At 35.5% G+C, this 20,371-nt stretch overlaps 1 long non-coding RNA gene across 4 annotated transcripts in view, besides 1 other annotated feature; it reads right to left on the reverse strand.

Moving 5' to 3' along the window:
• LOC105370481 (uncharacterized) overlaps window positions 1-20,371 on the reverse strand; it is a 64,726-nt gene that overhangs the window by 22,910 nt on the left and 21,445 nt on the right. For 3 of the 4 annotated variants that reach the window (XR_001750753.1, XR_001750755.1, XR_943828.2), the window contains exons 4-6: window positions 6,900-7,039; window positions 6,520-6,702; window positions 5,075-5,206 (exon numbers count right to left, since the gene is read on the reverse strand). This is a non-coding gene — a long non-coding RNA (uncharacterized LOC105370481). The remainder of the gene's footprint in view (window positions 1-5,074; window positions 5,207-6,519; window positions 6,703-6,899; window positions 7,040-20,371) is intronic. The other variant, XR_001750754.1, reaches the window with a different exon arrangement.
• Window positions 8,280-8,480: a silencer, noted in NCBI's record as "peak2148 fragment used in MPRA reporter construct". NCBI's record gives its function as "represses an SCP1 promoter by STARR-seq MPRAs in K562 erythroleukemia cells {active_cell/tissue: K562}" and the evidence as "EXISTENCE:reporter gene assay evidence [ECO:0000049][PMID:32103011]".

The raw sequence follows: 20,371 nt of genomic DNA on the forward strand, positions 1-20,371 counted from the left end.
CATTTCTGGGCCTCCAGGCGACTTAAACTCTAGGATTTCAGAGCGCAGGCCAAGATAAAGCAAACTCTCACTACTCTTAGAGGCAGTCTACTGTTCTAAACAGTTTTCCATACTGTAAGAGATAGATACTGTCTTAGTCCTTTGCATATCTTCGTCCATATGTCAATGCCTGGCCTGGCTTTTAGTTTCTATATCCTAATAAGGACAAAGATGGCACTCAAGTAAAAGTCTTTTCTGTGTATATTATATATATACATATGTATATATGTGTATATATGTATATGTATATATGTGTGTATATATGTATATGTATGTATATATATTTTTTATATATGTATTGATTACTAGCAAGCAATTCTAAAATATTCTACTATATTCTGATTATTAATCCCTTGTCAGATGAGTATTTTGCAAACATTTTCTTCCATTCTGTGGGTTGTATCTTCACTTTGTTGATTATTTCCTTTGCTGTGCAGAAGCTTTTTAGCCTGATATCTAGCTTTGCTTTGTGTCTTTGCTTTTGAGGACTTACTTTAAAAATCTTTTCCCAGACAAATGTCCTGGATCATTTTCCCAATATTTTCTTTCAGTTGTTTCAGGTCTTAGATTTAATTCTTTAAATCATTTTGATTTGAATTTTTTATATGGTGATGGATAGGAGCCTAGATTCCTTTTTCTTCATATGACTGTCTTCCCCATTGTATATTCTTGGTGACTTTATCAAAAGTGTGTGGGCTATAAATCCATGGATTTGTTTCTGGGTTCTGTGTTCCATTAATCTATGTGTCTGTTTTCATGCCAGCACCATGCTGTTTTGATTAATATAGTTTTGTAGTATATTTTGAGATCACATAATGTGATGTCTCCAGCTTTGTTCTTTTTGCTCAGGATTGCTTTGTCTATTTGGGTTTTTTTTTTTGTGGTACCATATAATTTGTTTAATTGTTGTTTTTCTATTTTTGGGAAGAATGTCTGGCATTTGATAGAAATTGCATTGAATCTTAGATCACTTTGGGTAGTATTGCCATTTTAACAATGTTAGTTCCTCCAATCAATGACTATGTATTATATTTATATTTTTTGTGTTTCCTCTTCAATTTCTTTCATCATTGTTTCATAGCTTTCCTTGTACAGATCTTTTAATTCTTTGGTTAAATTGATTCCTAGGTATTTTATGTTCTTTGTAGCTACTGTAAATGGGATTACATTCTTGAATTATTTTACAGATTGTTTGCTGTTGGCATACATAAATTCTACTGATTTTTGTATGTTGATTTTGTTCCTGGTGACTTTACTGAATACGTTTATTAAAACAGTTCTGCTTTTTGGTGGAGCTTCTACATATAACATCATGTCATTTGTGAACAAACCTAATTTGACCTTTTTCTTCCCAATTTGGATGTCCCTTATATTAATTTCCTTTGCCTAATTGATCTGGCCAGGACTTCTTGTAATATGATGAATACAAACTGTGATAGTGGATATATTTGTTCCAGATCTTAGGGAAAAGGATTTCAATTTGTCCTTGTTCAATATGATGTTAGCTGTGGGTTTGACATATACGGCCTTTATTATTTTGAGATATTTCCTTCTATACCCAGTTTGATAAGGTTTTCATCATAAAGAAATGTTAAATATTATCAAATGCATTTTCAGAATCCATTGAAATAATCATATGGTGTTTGTTCTTAGTTCTGTTAATGTGATGCATCATGTTTATTGATTTGCATATATTAAATCTTCCTTGCATCTCTGGGATGAATCCCACTTGATCATAATGAATGATCTTTTTAATGTGTTGTTGAATTCAGTTTGCTAGTATTTTTGCATCTATGTTCATCAGTGATATTGGCCTATAGTTTTCTTTTTTGGTTGTGTCCTTGTTACGTTTTGGTAACAGGGTAATGCTGGTGTCCTAGAATGAGTTTGAAATATTCCTTCATCTTTAGTTGTTGAATTGGTATTATTTCTTCTCAAATATTTGATGGAATTAATTGATAAAGCCATTAGACTCTGGGCCTTTCTTTGATGGGAGACTTTTTAAATTATACTTTAAGTTCTGGGGTACATGTGCAGAATGTGGTTTGTTACATAGGTATACATGTGCCACGGTGGTTTGCTGCACCCATCAACCCATCATCTACATTAGTTATTTCTCCTAATGCTATCCCTCCCCCAGCAGCCCACTCCCCAACAAGCCCCAGTGTGTGATGTTCCCCTCCCTGTGTCCATGTGTTCTCATTGTTCGACTTCCACTTATGAGTGAGAATATGCGGTGTTTGGTTTTCTGCTATTGTGTTAGTTTGGTGAGAATGATGGTTTCCAGGTTCATTCATGACTCAGCAGAGGACATTAACTCATCCTTTTTTTTACAACTGCATAGTATTCCATGGTATATGTGTCACATTTTCTTTATCCAGTCTATCATTGATGGGCAACCAGATTCATAAAGCAAGTTCTTAGAGACCTACAAAGAGACTTAGACTCTCACACAATAATAGTGGGAGACTTCAAAACTCCACTGTCAATATTAGACAGATCAACGAGATAGAAAATGAACAAGGATATCCAGAACTTGAACTCAGCTCTGGACCAAGCAGATCTGATAGATATCTACACAACTCTCACCCCAAACCAACAGAATATATATTTTTTCCTAGCACCACATCGCACTTATTCTAAAACTGACCACATAATTGGGAGTAAAACACTCTTCAGCAAATGCAAAAGAAGAGAAATCATAACAAACTGTTTCTCAGACCACAGATCACAGTGCAATCAAATTAGACCTCAGGATTAAAAGACTCACTCAAAACCACACACCTACATGGAAACTGAACAACCTGCTCCTGAATGACTACTGGGTAAATAACGAAATGAAGTCATAAATAAAGATGTTCTTTGAAACCAATGAGAACAAAGACACAACATACTAGAATCTCTGGGGCACATTTAAAGCAGTGTGTACCACTGCTTTAAATTTATAGCACATTTATAGCACTAAATGCCCACAAGAGAAAGCAGGAAAGATCTAAAATCGACACCCTAACATCACAATTAAGAGAATTAGAGAAGCAAGAGCAAACAAATTCAAAAGCTAGCAGAAGGCAAGAAATAACCAAGATCAGAGCAGAACTGAAAGAGATAGAGTCATAAAAACCCTTCAAAAATTGATGAATTCAGGAGCTGGTCTTTTGAAAAGATCAACAAAATAGATAGACCACCAGCCAGACTAATAAAGAAGAAAAGAGAGAAGAATCAATAAGAGGCAATAAAAAATGATAAAGGGGATATCACCACTGATCTCGTAGAAATACAAACATCTCTATGCAAATAAACTAGAAAATCTAGAAGAAATCATTAAATTCCTGTACACATACACCCTCCCAAGACTAAACCAGGAAGAAGTCGAATCCCTGAATAGACCAATAGCAGGTTCTGAAATTCAGGCAGTAATTAATAGCCTACCAACCAAAAAAAGTCCAGGACCAGACGGATTCACAGCCAAATTCTACCAGAGGTATAAGGAGGAGCTGGTACCATTCCTTCTGAAACTATTTCAAACAATAGGGGTCCTCCCTAACTCATTTTATGAGGCCGGCATCATTCTGATACCAAAACCTGGCAGATACACAACAACAACAACAAAAAGAAAATTTTAGGCCAATATCCCTGATGAACATCGATACGGAAATTCTCAATAAAATACTGGCAAACCGAATCCAGCAGCACATCAAAAAGCTTTTCCACCATGATCAAGTGGGCTTCATCCCTGGGATGCAAGGCTGGTTTAATGTACACAAATCAATAAATGTAATCCATCATATAAACAGAACCAATGACAAAAACTACACGATTATCTCAATAGATGCAGAAAAGGCCTTTGACAACATTCAACGATGCTTCATGATGGGAGACTTTTTATTATGGTTTCAATTTCGTTACCCTTACTGACTTGTTGAGGTTTTTTTTTTTTTTAATTTCTTCTTGGTTCTATCTTGGTAGGTTGGTAGGTATACATTCAGGAGTTTATCCATTCCTTCTAGGTTTTTAAATTTTTTCACACATAGTTGTTCATAATAGTTTCCAATGCTTCTTTGTATTTCTGTGGTTTCAGTTATTACATCTCCTTTTTCTTTTCCACATTTATTCCTTTGGGCCTTCTCTCTTGTTTTATTACTGGTCTAGCTACAGGTTTGTTTATTTTATTTTTTCATAAAAACAACTTTTCATTTTTTATACCTTCTGTATTTCTTTTTAGTCTCAATTTCATTTATTTCTGCTCAAATTTTTATTCTTTCTTTCCTTTTACTAATTTGGGGTTTGGTTTTTTCTTGTTTTTCTAGTTCTTTGAGGTGCATTGTTAGGTTGTTGTTTATTTGAAGTCCTTCTGTTTTTGATATGGGCATTTATTGCTATAAACTTCCCTGTTAGTATGGCTTTTGCTGTATCCTATAGATTTTAGTATGTTGTATTTCCTTTTTCATTTGTTTCAAAAATGTTTTTTTTTTAATTTCCTTCTTAATTTCTTCATTGGCCATTGGTCATTCAGGAGCATGTTGTTTAATTTCCAAGTGCTTGGGTATTTTCTGAGTTTCTTCTTGTTATTGATTTCTAGTCCTCTGCAGTCAGAAAATTATTTGATATGATTTCTACTTTTCTGAATTTGTTGAGACTTGCTTTGTGACCTATATTAACCTATTAAATTGGCCAGACTTTTGCCAACTGCATCATATGTTTATTGGTCTTTATATGGTATCAAATTCAAAACAAAAAAATTATAATAATTAAGTGGTTTCGAGTAGATAATTTTGTTTAAATGAGACCTTGGGAATATCTGACATTAATTATAGATGTATTGAAATATCTCATTATATACTGTATCCCAGCCACACATTCTTTCTCCTTTATGTCTGTATTTCTAATAGTGAAAACTACATTTTTTCAGCCATTCAATCTTAGAGACATTGAGTTACTTTCTCTTCCTCTTACTCCCTCTATATGTTTAATTATCAGTTCTACATTCTCTAAAACTCTTTCTTTCAATTTTTAATATTATTGTTGTTCTTCTTACCTCTTGTTTGGGTGATTGTATCAACCTGTTGTTAATCTTCTTCTACATATAACTTGTCTTCTCCTCTATTGCTAAGTTAATTTCTTAAGGCATAACCATGATTGTAGTCAGACGCTGGATGAAAAATGTTTCCTGGATTTTTATGGCCAACAGAATAAAATAAAATATATAACAGATCATAATCTAGTCTGAATCACCTTCCCCTATCATGTCTGCATAATTGCAACAAACTCTTCACTTACATTTACACAATTAAGCACTGTTATTCTTCCACTTAGGTCTTGGCCACTTATGTCATGACTATATACCTTTAACTTGGAATACTCTTCCTTTAATATCCAATATCAATATGTAACCCATTATTGAAGGGCCAATTATTTGATATAATTTCTACTTTTTTGAATTTGTTGAGACTTGTTTTGTGACCTATATTAACCTGTTGGAATACTCTTCCTTTCATCTCCAATATCAATATGTAACCCATCCTGGAAGGGCAACTGACATTCAATTTCATATTTTAAGTTTCATTCTCTATCTTAGCAAAAAAACCTAATTGCTATACTTTATCAGCAATATAGAATTTGTCAAAATATGCCATGTCTTAACTATCTGTATACGTCTTAATCTCCACACAGTAAGCTATAAAATCCTCAAGCATAGAAAACATGCTTCATTTTAACTTGCACTCATCTAGCAGAGTTTCTCACAGATACTCATGGAATGTTTATTGAATTGAATTATTTAATGACATATAAAATGTCCAAACTAGCACAGTGCCTTTAATAGTTTCCTCTCACCTATAGTAACTCCACTTAATTAGAGGTGACCTGGTTCTCTATCATCACACCTAAGGGAATATTTCTTGGCTATATGTACTGTTTTTCCCCTGAACTCACTCATTCCATTTAACTGAAATTTGCTTTATTTACTTCACCTAGCTGTCCCTGCTCTCTCCTTCAAAATCCCCTTGAATTTGGTGCTTTGTATTTCTCTATCATTCCCAAACTTTTCATGAAAGTTCATCTTTCATTCAAAAAATCTTTCTTTGGCTTATCTTTGCCAGTTCTTTCGTATCCCTTTGTACACACACACACACACACACACACACACACACGCACGCATGCACTGATGTGGGACTTGGAAATTAAGGCAAGGCCAGTTTATTACTTTTGTTATTGTGGTGCTGAGTATTCTATTTTCATGGGTGGGTATTTTAGGTATTACACACAATTTTCTTAATAGCAGTAAGATTCAGAAGGAAGCATATGCACTGACTTAATTTTACTAGGAATTAAATCCAAAAATTAAAATTAAATTAATTACAGGAAAAGCAAGTGAGTTTGGGTAGGACAAAATAATAAAGAGAAAGTATTGTCCATATTCAATCAGCATGACATTTTTTCCTCAATTTTTTCCGTGTTAGAATTCTTACATATTTTGCTCACCTATATCCTATGCGATCTTTAATATTTCCTTGTTTAGTTAAAACATACTTCACTTTCTCTTTTTTTTTTTTTCCTGGATGTATTTCTATTAAAGAAAAACAAGAACACTTAGTCTTCTTCAAGTAGAGATTTGAAGAAGTGTTTCTCCCTGATGCTTTTCATCCTTCATATTCTGGTTCATTCCTAGAACAAAAAGGAAGAGGTAAAGGAAGTTGTAAGAAGGTGGAAAAGGAATCGTGCAGTGAAGAAATCAGATAACTTATGAGCAACACGCACCCCCCCAGTTATGTACAAAGTAAGTTTCTGATTACTAGATAATACAATCTTCAAAAGTGGTTTGATAATTTCCAAGACAAAAAGAAATTTTACATTATCCTTACCACTACTTCTATAGTTGCCAGAAATTAGGCAAAGTCTTTACAACTGTGGAAGAGGGAATGGCCATATAGGTCCGTTGAGCCAAATAAATGACCAGAGGATATTTTCAGTGGCAAATATGTTTTGATTGAATATCTGTGTGCTGAACACAAAAATTAAGATGTGAATGACTGAGGTATAAGGACTGCTCAATAAAAGTTAGGGTAGTAATTTGTGAAGACTAATGTACGCAGACAAATGAAATATCAGGGAAGCCAGAAGAAATAACTGGTGATGGACAAATATAAAGGTCAAGGGATTGACCCAAACCATAACTGACCAAAAAACATTCAGGTAAGAGAAGACATTGAGAAAGAGAGAGAGATCAGTACTTAATGAGGACAAATTTGAAGGCATGTCCAAAGCAGCAGGTAAACAAGGTGGAATGGAGTGAAAATTTTTCAAAAGACTAAGGGCTAGAAGCATTAAATCAAAAAAAATCAAAATATTATAGCTGAAGTGTGGAGACTAGGAAAGGAAGAAAGAAGATCAAAGTAGAAAGACAGTGAAAAAAACAATATCCAGTGGAAAAGGAAAACATATGAATGACAAATTAATCCTGCTTTTGGTAAGATAATAGAGAAAACAAAGAAATATGAATTAGTTATGTAGCTCACCAAATTAAGTGAGATATATAATTTCCACTAATCAATTTTTAACATCCAGTAATATCTAAGAAGGAAAAGTTAGAAGCAGTAGTATTAAAGCATTAAAGAAACACACACACACATGCATGCACACACACACACACACACACAAATAAAACTCCTGGGTTGCTTTTATTATACAGTAACAAACCAAAACAATCCCTTCAAATAGGAAAAAGAGACAAAACAAAATGAAAAAACAGAAAGTTGATAAAACTTTGAAATCCCAAGACTAGAAACAAATGTTTGAAAAATTGTCAATGTAAAGGAAATGCTTTGTACAAAGATGTCTTCTATGGGATTTGTTGTAATCTCCCAGAGAAACAAACAAAAGCAACAACATCAGGATAGGAGAGGGAGACTGTGACCATGAGGACGAGTAACAAGGGAAAAATCTAAGGAATTAGTAAATATTTAAAATGGAAAACCATATAAGGGAGGAGAAAGAATAAAGAATTTAAATAAGCAAACAGCTAAAGGAAATCCGCACAAAAAAGATTGCAACAGGACACAAATGCATTGTGTACCTTTGTGCATTCCTAAGGTATACATAATTTGGTTACAGCTGATTTACAATGTTCCATCTCAACAACTCCTTGAGTGGCAGGAATCTGAAAATGCTATCGCTTTGGGATATTTTAGTGAGACATGATAAAGTAAAAAGGCTGACGTGTGCAATCATATCTGCTTTGGCCATGCTACATCTACTTGAGCGGAGGGTGGATGGCACAGGAAACATAATGGAAAGAAAAACAAGGGGATGTGACGAAGAAAATAATAATTAGGCACATGTAAGCTTGAGAGAAAGAGAGAAGATAACACTTCAATAGTCAGCAATTTTGTATCCCAGCCACTAAGTATTGGCTAAAATCTTCCATTGAAATTCTGCCCTGCACCACTTCCTTCATTGCGAGCAAAGCCATTCATCAGTTCTTTCATGCTGGTTCAATTAAATCCTATAGTGCTCCCAGGCAATGTAGCATCAGCTCTGGTGAAGAATTTCAATTCCATAAACAGGCCTGTAAATATGCTACTGTGGATAAATTGGCCATCAGGGTGATAGAGAGTAGCAAACGAAAATGTGTGATTACAGCTAGTTTTAGTGTGCTAGAAAGCTGCTGAGCCATTACTGTGAGCAAGAACAATGTTTTTGCCTCCTCTGCTTATCTAGTGTTTTTGCTCTCTCCATATTAGCTATTTCCAGGCAAATACACTTTGTCTGATTTATATTTCTCACTTAGTTACTCTCACAATGACCCTGACATAGATTTTTTAGAACTCAAATCTAACATACCCCTCAAGCCCACTCTCCTCCAAGTACCATCTTCATCATGCTTTGTCCTCCTAGGCTCTCCAGTCTTAGAGTGCTAAGAATATAGGCTGGCTTTCTGTTTTGTTTTTAACCTTTAAATTAAGTACATATGGAGAACTCTGACCTATCTGCACCTTTGAGTTTTCCTACTTTTATATCCTTGTTTTTATATAACGCTTAGACAATCAACTTTACACTGTAATGGGAAAAAATGATTTAAAGTTTTTTTACTATCATTACATTATAGACAAAAGTCACACTTGTCTTCAAAGCAAATGTCTTTTTAAAAATAGCAATTTGTTTAAAGAAAAAGCACTAATATTGTATAAAGCTAGCAAAACTGCTTTCCTCTAATAAACTAGTTATCTCAAAAACTTCCAGAGATAAAACTTAGGCATTAACAGAAGGAAATAACTTTGTGTAAAAAAACTTCTGAAACTTATTTATATTTATCAAATACAATGAAATTTGTTCTGCCAAGAAAGATAGATGCAGGATTTTCCATGTTCAATAAAATAAATAACATGTTAAGTCTTTGGGTTTAAGGGTTTTCAAATAGAAAATCCCCAAGAAAGGCAACTATGTAATTGTTCTGACATTGCTAATCACTACATACTGGACTTTAGATTTTCACGTATTTTTTCCTAACACAAAATTCATGTGAAAGTGGATTTTGTATTGAATGTTACAGGTAAAATCATTAACCAGAAGATTTCCATAATCTTCAATAGCCCTTCACCAGCAAGAGAGGCAGCAGTCTCTCTTGCTGCTACTTTACTTAATATTAGCAATCACAATCCTTCCCACCTAAAAATGCTGTATAGACTGAGAGTGGTGGCACACACCTGTAATCCTAGCACTTTGGAAGGCCAAGGCAGGAGGATCCCTTGAGGCCAGGAGTTTGAGATCAGCCTGGGCAATATAGTGAGATCCTGTCTCTACAAAAAGTAAAAAACAAAACAAAACAAAAACAGCTGATTCTCCCAGCTAATCGGGGGCTGAGGTGGGAGGATCATTTGAGCCCAGGAGGTAGAGGCTGCAGTGAGACATGATCATACCAGTGCACTCCAGCCTAGGCAAAAGAATGAGACACTACCTCAAAAAGAAAAAAAAAACATGCTGTATGCCTTCAATGCATTGTTCTTTCAATTGTATTCTAAGAATTGAGTAGAGAAGAATCAACTCTTCTGTTATATTTACAAGTAAACATATTTTAACAGAGTTGAGTTAATATTGTCCTTGACTCTAACATCAGCCCTTTTAATTATGTTTCATTCTTTAAATGATAAAAGTGTGTTTGGGTCACACATTGATTTGTCAGAGAGGGATTTGAAACATTTAGTCAAAAAATACATAATTTTTTTAACAAGAGGTAAGCAGAGAAATGTTTTAAATCAGAGTAGCTCTTGAAATAGATGGAGAAGAAAATTTGAGGCTACTAAATGGGAATAAAGGCTGAGATATGTTCCCTTTCTTTCTAACAGTCAATCAGTGTCTAGGATTTTAATACATTTCTTAGACCTCCATGTCTTTTATTCAAAGTGAAAGAAAATGTGTTCTCATCTTTTATATAAAATGAAAGTAACTATGTTCTGATTAGTTCTATTTAAAAACATACTTCAGTCAGATGTGGGGTTTATGTAAGTTCAGAATTAATGATTTTAAAAAGAGATCTTATTAGATTTTATCAGAGCCATCTATGAGCATTCCAAAACTTTTATCTTTTGTATTCTTTTAAATATTCACGTAATTGTTAGAGATAACAGACCAAGTGGCCTCAGAATAGTTGTGCAAACTCCAGTGCAATGATGAAGTAATTAAGCCTAGATTTGGATTGAAATTATAGATCTGCTAGATATAAAGAAGGTTATTAAATAATTGATAAGGGATTGTTTAACAAGGAATATACATCTTTCCTAAACCCTAGTTATTTGCTCATTCCTTAAACTTCAGTTACTTCATTTGTAAAATAAGAAATAATAGTAATAAGTAACTCATTGTGTTTTGAGAAGCTTAAGTCACATAGCACAAGAAAAATTCTTAGCATAGTAAGTGTACAACAAATGTTAGCTAAGCTAATAAATCATAATACATTGGTTTACCTTTCAATGACTAGCACAATGAAGTGATTTTTCCTCTTTTTGTGATATTTGAACTGTTTCTATAAAGTGGTATACACATTTTTAATGCAAATTTTGAAATAAATGCTCTGAGAGTCTACATCAGAGGTTGATAAACTATACCCCATTGGCCAAATCAAACTCACAGGCTGAGTTTTTAGTCTTATTTGGAAGACAACCTGCTCATTTGTTTTTATATTGTCTCTGACAGCTTTTAAATATCAACAACAGTGTGGAGTAGTTATTACAGACACTGTATGGGCCACAAAGCCTAGAATATTTACTCTCCAGCCCTTTACAGAAAAGTTTATCAACCCCAGGTCTATATCATGCTAAACATCTGGATTTTTTTAAGCTCAGTAATTTTACGGGAATTTCAGAGTCTTTTCAAAGGTTTTATTATTATTAGCAGATTCTTCCTGTCTATAGGATGTCAATGAGACAAAGTATAACATGCCTGAAACAGAAATCTTAATGCCCCACATCCCTCATCTACAATTGTTTCTCTCCCAGTCTTTCCTCTCAGCTAACGACTCAGTTTTCTAACGCATTTTTTAATTTATTTTTTGCTTCCACCCCACCGTATCTAATCCACCAGCATGTTTCATAGAACCTGACCCCAAAATACTTCCCTACACTCATCTCTCCTCTTTATGGCTTTGCCCCACTCTACTTCAAGCTATCTGTATGGGTTTCGTATAGCTACTGCAACAAACTGCGACACACTTAGTGACATAAAACAACACAAACTTATTATCTTATGGCTCTGGCAGTCACAAGTCTGAAGTGGGTTTTACTATTGGTGTCCACAGCTGGGTTCATTTCCGGAAGCTCTAAAGGAGAGTCCATTTTCTTGATTTTCCCAACCTTTAGAGGTTCCCTTGCATTGTAACAGGTAGCAATTGCCAGTTGGGTTTTTCTCATGAAAGTGCCATCTCTTGGCTGAGGCAGGAGAATGGCGTGAACCCGGGCGGGGAGTTGGCAGTGAGCCGAGAGGGAGGGGGAGTTGGCAGTGAGCCGAGATTGCGCCACTGCACTCCAGCCTGGGTGGAAGAGCGAGACTCCGTCGAGAGAGAGGAGAGAGAGGAGAGAGGAGAAAGGAGAGAGGAGAGAGGAGAGAGAGAGCCATCTCTCTGGTTGTGACTCTTCTACCTCCCTCTTCCCCATTTAAGGACCCTTTAACAGTCCTGGATAATCTAATCTTAAAATCAGACAATTAGCAACCTTAATTCTATCTGCCACCTTAACTCCCCTTTGCATTTTAACATGAAATATTCCCATGCTTCTGGAACTAAGTCGTGAATGTCTTTCATGGTGGAGGGATGTTATTCTGCCCTTTTATTGAGTTTAAACTATCTACCTGGACTACTGCAACAGGCTGTGACCTGTTCTTTGTTTCTATTTGTAATCCCTTACAATCTATTGAATCCGCTGACATCACCATATACAACATAAAACCATAAAACTTCGCTGGATCATGCCACTTCCCTAGTAAAAACCTACCAAGAACTTTCCACTTTACACAGAATAAATAACCAAACTCCTTACTGAGCCCTTCAAGGCTGTGTGTGATCTTCTGTTTATCTTTTCCTGGGTCACTTCCATCACTTTCCAGAAAGAAGGGTATTATGACATCACCTTGATCTTGGCAAGCTTATTACTACTTCTATACCTATGTACTTCTTCAGTCTTTCCCAAATCTTCACATGGTTAGCTCTTTTTTGTCACTTAGGTCTCAGTTCAAAGGCCACTTCTTTAGATATTTTTTTTTTCTAGCACCCAAACTAAAAGTGTCCCTCAACAAATAATTCACTGTACTACAATACCTGTCTTATTTCCTTCCCTGATTATTAATTTGTTTGATTGTTTATGATGCATCTTTTTCTATCAGCGTTTAGCTGAGAGCTGAGACTTCATCTATCTTGTTGAGGATGCTACGTCTGCACATTGGGTAGGATGAGGAACAAATACTAAATAAATATTAGATGAATAAATAAAAGAAAGAACAAAAAAGCTGAAGCTGACAATCATGATGAAAACGCTCTCTGTCACTAGTATACCTCATTTATAAAATAGGTTTAATAATTAATATGGATTATATATAGTAAATTCCCAATAATTACCTATAATTGTCATCATTATTACTATTTCACCAGTAGTATTAGTGCTCTAATTTTATACTCAAAGATACAGAAGTGCTCTATAGCAAGGGTAAAGGGTAGGTAAACAAGAGATGATAATATAATAACAGCTAATAATTAATATTTTGGGATTTTATGATCATCATATGAAACAATTTACAGAGATTATCACATTTAAGTTTTATCTTCAATTTTACATAAGAAGAAACTAGCCCTTTATGAATTTAAGCAACTACTTAGTGGCAGAGATGTGAAGCAAAATCCATGCTCTCAATATATTCGTTATCTAAATGACCATAGAAACTCATGAGCTCTGTGCAAAAGAGTTCAAATGCCACATGGGAAAGAAAACAAAAATGAATCAATAATAACAGAATGGATTTTTAATTATTAAAGCAAGTAAAGAAATAAACAAAAAATAGCTATAAAACAAGACAACAAAATCAGGAAAAGTGTATTAGATGTATAATGACTAGAAGGTAGAACCCTCTTCTACACACCACTCTGCCATTTCCTCGAGTTCTGCCATAAATTTCAAAAACAAATTTGTAAAACTGATATTCTTAGTTAATGCTGACTTAAATAAAAATTCAGAGGTGGCCATAATTGCTTAAACAAAAGCCTTTCCCTGAAACTAAATTAAAATGTCTTCATCTATAAAAAGGGCCTTCAAATAATGATAAACAAGAGCAGTCCTGAAATAGAAGCTATGCAATGAAGTAAGAGAATATATTGCCATTTGAAAACAAAAATACCACCACACAAAATGCCCAGAGTTACAAATCACATAGCAATCATAGAATAATGGATCTCATATCTGTTCTTGGAGTGCATCACTTGTCAAGCAAGGGGGGGCTCTGTCTGCTTCTTTCACTCTGTGCTACCGAAGCACTACAAAGTCTTCACATGTGTGAGGAAACTTCAAGTGTGAATAGAGTGATTTATGAGATTTATGAGAAAGGAGAATAAAATTAGGTTGTACGTGATGCACCATGAGTGGAACATAAAAATGTAATAGAAAAACACTAACATGGACATCTCAATAGTTTGAAAGAAGACACAATAACAAACAGGTAGAAAAGATAACATTGCAATGTTCATCTGTCACACACAAGAAGAGAGTCAACTATTGTGTTAAATATGACAATATTAATCATTTAAATGAACATGAATAAAACACTAATGTTACTATTGGGAAAATGATTGTTTTGATGAAAAATTATGCATTTTTTCTAGCACAATATTTAGCTTTATGTAATTTGTGTTCATTGAAGCTGCTTTACAAATGTATGAATTGTAAGTTACTGATGGCAAAGCAAAAAAGTTCTTCTTTTTAGACATACAAACTCTGCCTTGTCAGGGAGTAGCTCAACTGACTTCTCTCCCTCACTGTAGAAGAAGTTAGTTTTACCTCCATTTATGAATTCAATTTAATGTCCCTCTCCTATAATTATGGCTGTTCTTTAGATCCTCTTTTGAAGCCATTATAAAATTTTCCTAGTTTACTCATTATTAAATAAAATGTCTAGCACGCATTCATATCTGTATGATAGTCATAATTTTACCTTTCTTGAAAATTATCTCGTAACACTAGTGTCTGTATTCACCGTGCAAAGCCACCATTACTATACCTAAATCTACTTTTTTTTTCTTTTCAATAAGGGGCTTTTCCCCCTTTGCTTGGCACCTCTCTCTCCTGCCACCATGTGAAGAAGGACATGTTTGCTTCCCCTTGTGCTATGATTGTTAGTTTCCCCAGGCCTCCCCAGCCCTGCGTAACTGAGTCAATTAAACCCATTTCCTTTATAAATTACCCAGTCTCAGGTATGTCTTTATGAGCAGGATGAGAACAGAGTACCTTGCATAGTCTTTTTCAATGGGGCTTTAAGAGATTCTTTCTTTGCTGAATATTTAGCACTCAGACATGCAGCTGATGGCAAGAGTTCTTAGTCTCAAGAGATCCTCTTGTGTCGTCTTCTCAAAGTGCTGGGATTACAGGGATGAGCCACCACACTCAACCCTTTGTTGAGGATTCTTCCATCTATGCTCATCAAGGATATTGACCTGTAGTTTTCTTTTTCATTATGTCTTTGCCAGGTTTTGATATCAGAATTATTCGGCTCATGGAATGAATTAGGAAGGAGTCCTTCTTCCTCAATTTTTTGGAATAGTTTCAGTAGGATTGGTTTCAGCTCTTCTTTTTATGTCTGGTAAAATTTGACTGTTAATTCTTCTGGTCCAGGGATTTTTCTGGTTGGTAGGCTTTGTTACTGATTAAATTTCCAAATTTGTTATTGGTCTGTTCAGGGTTTTAATTTCTTTCTGGTTCAATCTTGGGAAGTGTATGTTTCCAGGAATTTATCTCTTTCTTCTATGTTTTCTAGTTTGTGTCCATAGAGATGTTCATAATAGTCTCTGAGGGTTTTTTTTTTTAATAGTTTTATAGGATTGGAGGTAATGTGCTTATTTCAATCTTCTCTCTTTTTTTCTTTATTAAGCTAGGTGGTGGCCTATCAATCTTATTTATTCTTTCAGAGAACCAACTTTTGGTTTCATTGCTCTTTCATATGGTTTTTCATGTCTCAATTTCATTCATTTTAGCTCGGATTTTTGTTATTTCTTTTCTTCTGCTAGCCTTGGATTTGGTTGGCTCTTGTTATTCTATTTCCTCTATGTGTGAAATTAGGTTGTTAATTTGGTATCTCACTTTTTTATGTAGGTGTTAGTACTACAAACTCTCCTGTTAACACTGCTTTAGATATTTCCCAAAGATTCTGGTATGTTGTACTTTTGTTTTCATTAGTTTCAAATAATTACTTGATTTCTGCCTTAATCTGTTTACCCCAAATTTTCATTCCGGATTAGGTTAATTTTCATGTAAATGTATAGTCTGAGAGATCTTCTTAGTATTGATTTCTACTTTAATTGCACTGTCATCTGGGAGTGTTGTTGGTATGATTTGTTTGTTTTAAAATGTATTTAGAATTGTCTAAAAGCTGAGCATGTGGTCAATTTAGCATATGTGCCATGTGCAGATGAGAAGAATGCATATTCTGTTGTTGTTAAATGGAGTGTTCTGTAGATGTCTGTTAAGTCCATTTAGTCAAGTATTGAGGTTAGGTCCTGAATATCTTTGTTAGTTTTCCGCTTTAATGATCATCTAAGACTGTCAGTGGAGTATTAGAGTCTCTCCTTACTTTTGTGTGGTCATCTAAGTCTCTTTGTAGGTGTGTAACAACTTGTTTTACGAATCTGAGTGCTCCAGTGTTAGGGATGTGTGTGTGTGTGTATATATATATATATGTAGAATATTTAAGTCTTCTTGTTGAATTGAACTCTTATTGTTACACAATGCCCTTGTTTGTTTGTTTTCCTTTTTTCTTGTCTTTTCTTCAGTTTTTTTTTTTTTTTGAGACAAGGTCTTAAGTCTGTTGCCCAGGCTGGAGTGTAGTGCTGTGATTATCGCTCACTGCAGCCTTGATCTCCTAGGCTCAAATGATCCTCCAAACTCAGCCTTCCAAGTAGATGGGACTACAGGCATACACCACAACACCTGACTAATTTTCTTGTTTCTTTTTTGTTTTTTGTTTTTTTTTATAGAGACTGTGTCTTGCTTTGTTGCCCAGGCTTGTCTCAAATTCCCACCTCAAACGATCCTCCCACCTTGGCCTCTCATCTTTATCCTTTTTGATTGTTCCAGGTTTGAAGTCCGCTTTGTCTGAAATAAGAATGGCAACACCTGCTCTTTTTTTGTTTTCCATTTGCTTGGTAGATTTTTCAACATCCCTTTACTCTGAACCTATGGGTGTCTTTGCATGTGAGATGGGTCTCTTGAAGATAGCACACAGTTGGTTTATTTATTTATTTTTTTATCCTACTTGTTTTGTCTGAAATAAGAAGGCAACACCTGCTCTTTTTTTTGTTTTCCATTTGCTTGGTAGATTTTTCAACATCCCTTTACTCTGAAATTATGGGTGTCATTGCATGTGAGATGAGTCTCTTGAAGATAGTACACAGTTGGTTTATTTATTTATTTTTTATCCTATTTGACACTCTCGGCCTTTCAATTGGGGCATTTAACCCATTTATAGTCAAAGTTTATATTGATTTGTGCAGATATGATTTTTGTCATTGTGTTGTTAGTTGGATGTTATGCAGGAATTACTTTATAATGTCAATGGTCTATATACTTAAATGTGTTTTGTGGTGGCTGGTAACAGTCTTGGTTTTTTAGCACCCCCTTAAGTACCTCCTGAGGGCAGACCTGGTGGTAACAATTCTCTTAGCATCTGCTTGTCTGAAAAATATTTTATTTCTCCTTCACTTATGAAGCTTAGTTTGGCTGGATATGAAATTCTTATTTGGAATTTATTGTTTAAGAATGCTGAACATAGGCCTTCAATCTCTTCTGGCTTGTAGGGTTTCTGCTGAAAGGTGTGCTGTTAGCCCGATGTGCTTCCCTTTGTAGGTGACCAACTGTTTCTCTCTAGCTGCCTTTAATATTCTGTCTTTTGCATTGACCTTGGAATATCTGATGACTATGTGTCTTGGGGATAGTCATCTTGTATAGTATCTCACAGGGGTTCTTTGCATTTCTCATATTTGAATGTTGACATCTTTTGAGATGTTTGGGATATTTTCATGTATAATATCCTCAAAGATGTTTTCCAAATTGCTTGTTCTCTCTCCTTCTCTTTCAAGGATGCCAATAAGTTGTAGGTTTGATCTCTTTACCTAATCCCATATTTCTCAGAGGTTTTAATTAAGTTTTTTATCTGACTGAATTAACTCAAAGAACTTGTCTTCATACTCTGAAGTTCTTTCCTCAGCTTAGTCTAGTCTTCCATTAATACTTCCGATTGTATTATGAAATTCTTGATGTGAACTTTTCAGCTCTATCAGATCAGTTTTGTTCTTTCTTAAAGTGGCTTTTTCACCTTTCAGCCCTTGTATCATTTGACTGGATTTGTTTTACTGATTCCTTAGATTCTTTGGATTGGGTTTCAACTACCTCCTGAATCTCAGTGATCTTCGTTGCCAACCAGATTCTGAATTCTATGTCTGTCATTTCAGCCATTTCAGCCTCATTAAGAATCATTGCAGGGGAGTTAGTATAGTCACTTGGAGGTAAGAGGACACACTGGTTTTTGAATTGCCAGAGTTTTTGCATTGGTTCTTTCTCATCTGTGTGGGCTGATGTTCCTTATAATCTTTGAACTTGCTCTCCTTTCGATGAGACTTTTTACTTTTATTTTTTTTGCTGTTGAGGGTTTGATTGTAGCATAAGTTGGATTCAGTAATCTGGCTTTGTTTCTCGATGATTTTAGGGGGCCAAGACTCAGCTCAGCATTCCTGCGCTTTGCTCTCTATCCCTGGAGGGCTGAGACCAGGCCCAAAACTTTGTTCTCTGGCACCTCAAAGTTAAGCACCTGCTGCACTTGAGGAACCTAGGTATACCTGGTGTGCTGGCAACAACACTCCAACAGGCAGTGCCGGCAAAAGCACTTTGTCAGAGCAGTGACAGTGGCATCTGCAGTGTGTACTGGCAGGGTTGAGATGACTACAGTGAAGTCCATGCATGCACAAGCACACTGCTAGCGGTGGGGCAGTGAGGTCTGCTCATGCAGTGGCAAAGCAGTGTTGAGAGTCTGTGGGTGGGTGCCTGTCAGCAAAATGATGTGGGAAGCTATGCATGGGTGCATGTTGTGGGGTACCATCTGCAGAAGCTCTCCAACAGTTAGGCAGGACCTACCTGCAAATGAGCTATGGTGGCTGCTGCCAGGAAGTACCCCATTTGGGCATCCAGGGCTGTGCTTCAAGCAGACTTGGCCAGGCAGGAACCCTAGGAGAGGCTGGTAGACAGAGGTGCACTCAGATCAGACTGGCTCTTTCACACAGACAAGATTGCTCTGATCTGTCCAGGTCTGAGAGTCAACAAAAGCCAAAGCTATCTAGAGCTGTGTCGTGAGCCTTGAGGCTGGGCATCCCTGGCCGTGCTCCATTGCAGCTATTCCCATGCCAAATCTTTGCTCAGCACAGTCTGGAGTCCTGTCCCTGCCACATCTCTAAGGTGGCACAAATGTCCGTGGGGGTTGTGGAGTCTCCTGAAGCTAGAATTCTGGAGGTCTGTGGCAAGAGTAGGCCAGTCCTCACCTATTTAACTCACCAAGAGCCACTGTGGGCCAGAAACGAGTCCTGGTGCTCAGCATCCCTGTGCAGGGTTCCCAGCTTCCTCCCACTTCAGCCCAGGATCTATGTCTACCCTCCATCCATTCTCAATGCCTTCCTTTCTAAGATCTGCTCAGAGTGTGCCGGTCTTCTTGATGGTCTTGTCTCTGGGTGGGAGATACTCTTCCTTGCTGTGTCTATTGGCCACCTTAGTTCTTCTCCAGAAAAAAACATTTAAAGAAAATATAAACAGTAAAAACTATCTCAAAGAAAAATTTTTAAAAATACAAATAATAGAGGAAATAATTTATATATATAAATACAGTAAACTTCATTTCAGCTTATCAAAACACCATACAGAAGTTGAAAAGATAAATGACAGATAAGCAGAAGATATAAGGAACATATAAAATATATTTCATAAAGGTCTAATATTCAGAAAAACTCTAAATTCAAAGGCAAAATAAAAACTGCCATGCAGGATATTTCCAAAAGACAGAATATGTCATTTCACAAAGGAAGAAAAATGAATGGCCAAATCACGTTTAAAAACCTGTAAAAGCTCCTCAGAAAAATGAAAATTAAAATCACATTTAGATATCATTTCAACATTATAAAATTGTTTAAAAGCATAAAAAGTCAAAAAAAGTTATGGGAAATATTTGGGAATGGGAATCTCATACATTGCTGGTAGAAGAATAAATTCACATGGTATTTTTAGAAAAGGATTTAGCGTTATTTGGCAAAATTGAAGCATTCTACCACCTACAATTCTATTCAGTGATGTTTTCCCTAAAGAGATTCTTGCACTTGTATACCAAGAAACCTATGCAATATATGGAATCCTCTAAAGCACATGGAGTAATAAAGGGACCACTTTTACTCAAGTTTAAAAAGTTATACATACCATAATTATGAATCCCATTTTGATCTTTTATCCCAATTCTGGTAAGTTGATCAATCACTATATTAATAACAAGCCTATTTTCCCTTTTACAGACCTGAGAGTATTTTCTTAGTCTTGATAATACTTTTATCTGAAACTAA

This window comes from Homo sapiens, chromosome 14 (genome assembly GCF_000001405.40).
Source record: "Homo sapiens chromosome 14, GRCh38.p14 Primary Assembly".
Lineage (NCBI taxonomy): Eukaryota > Metazoa > Chordata > Mammalia > Primates > Hominidae > Homo > Homo sapiens.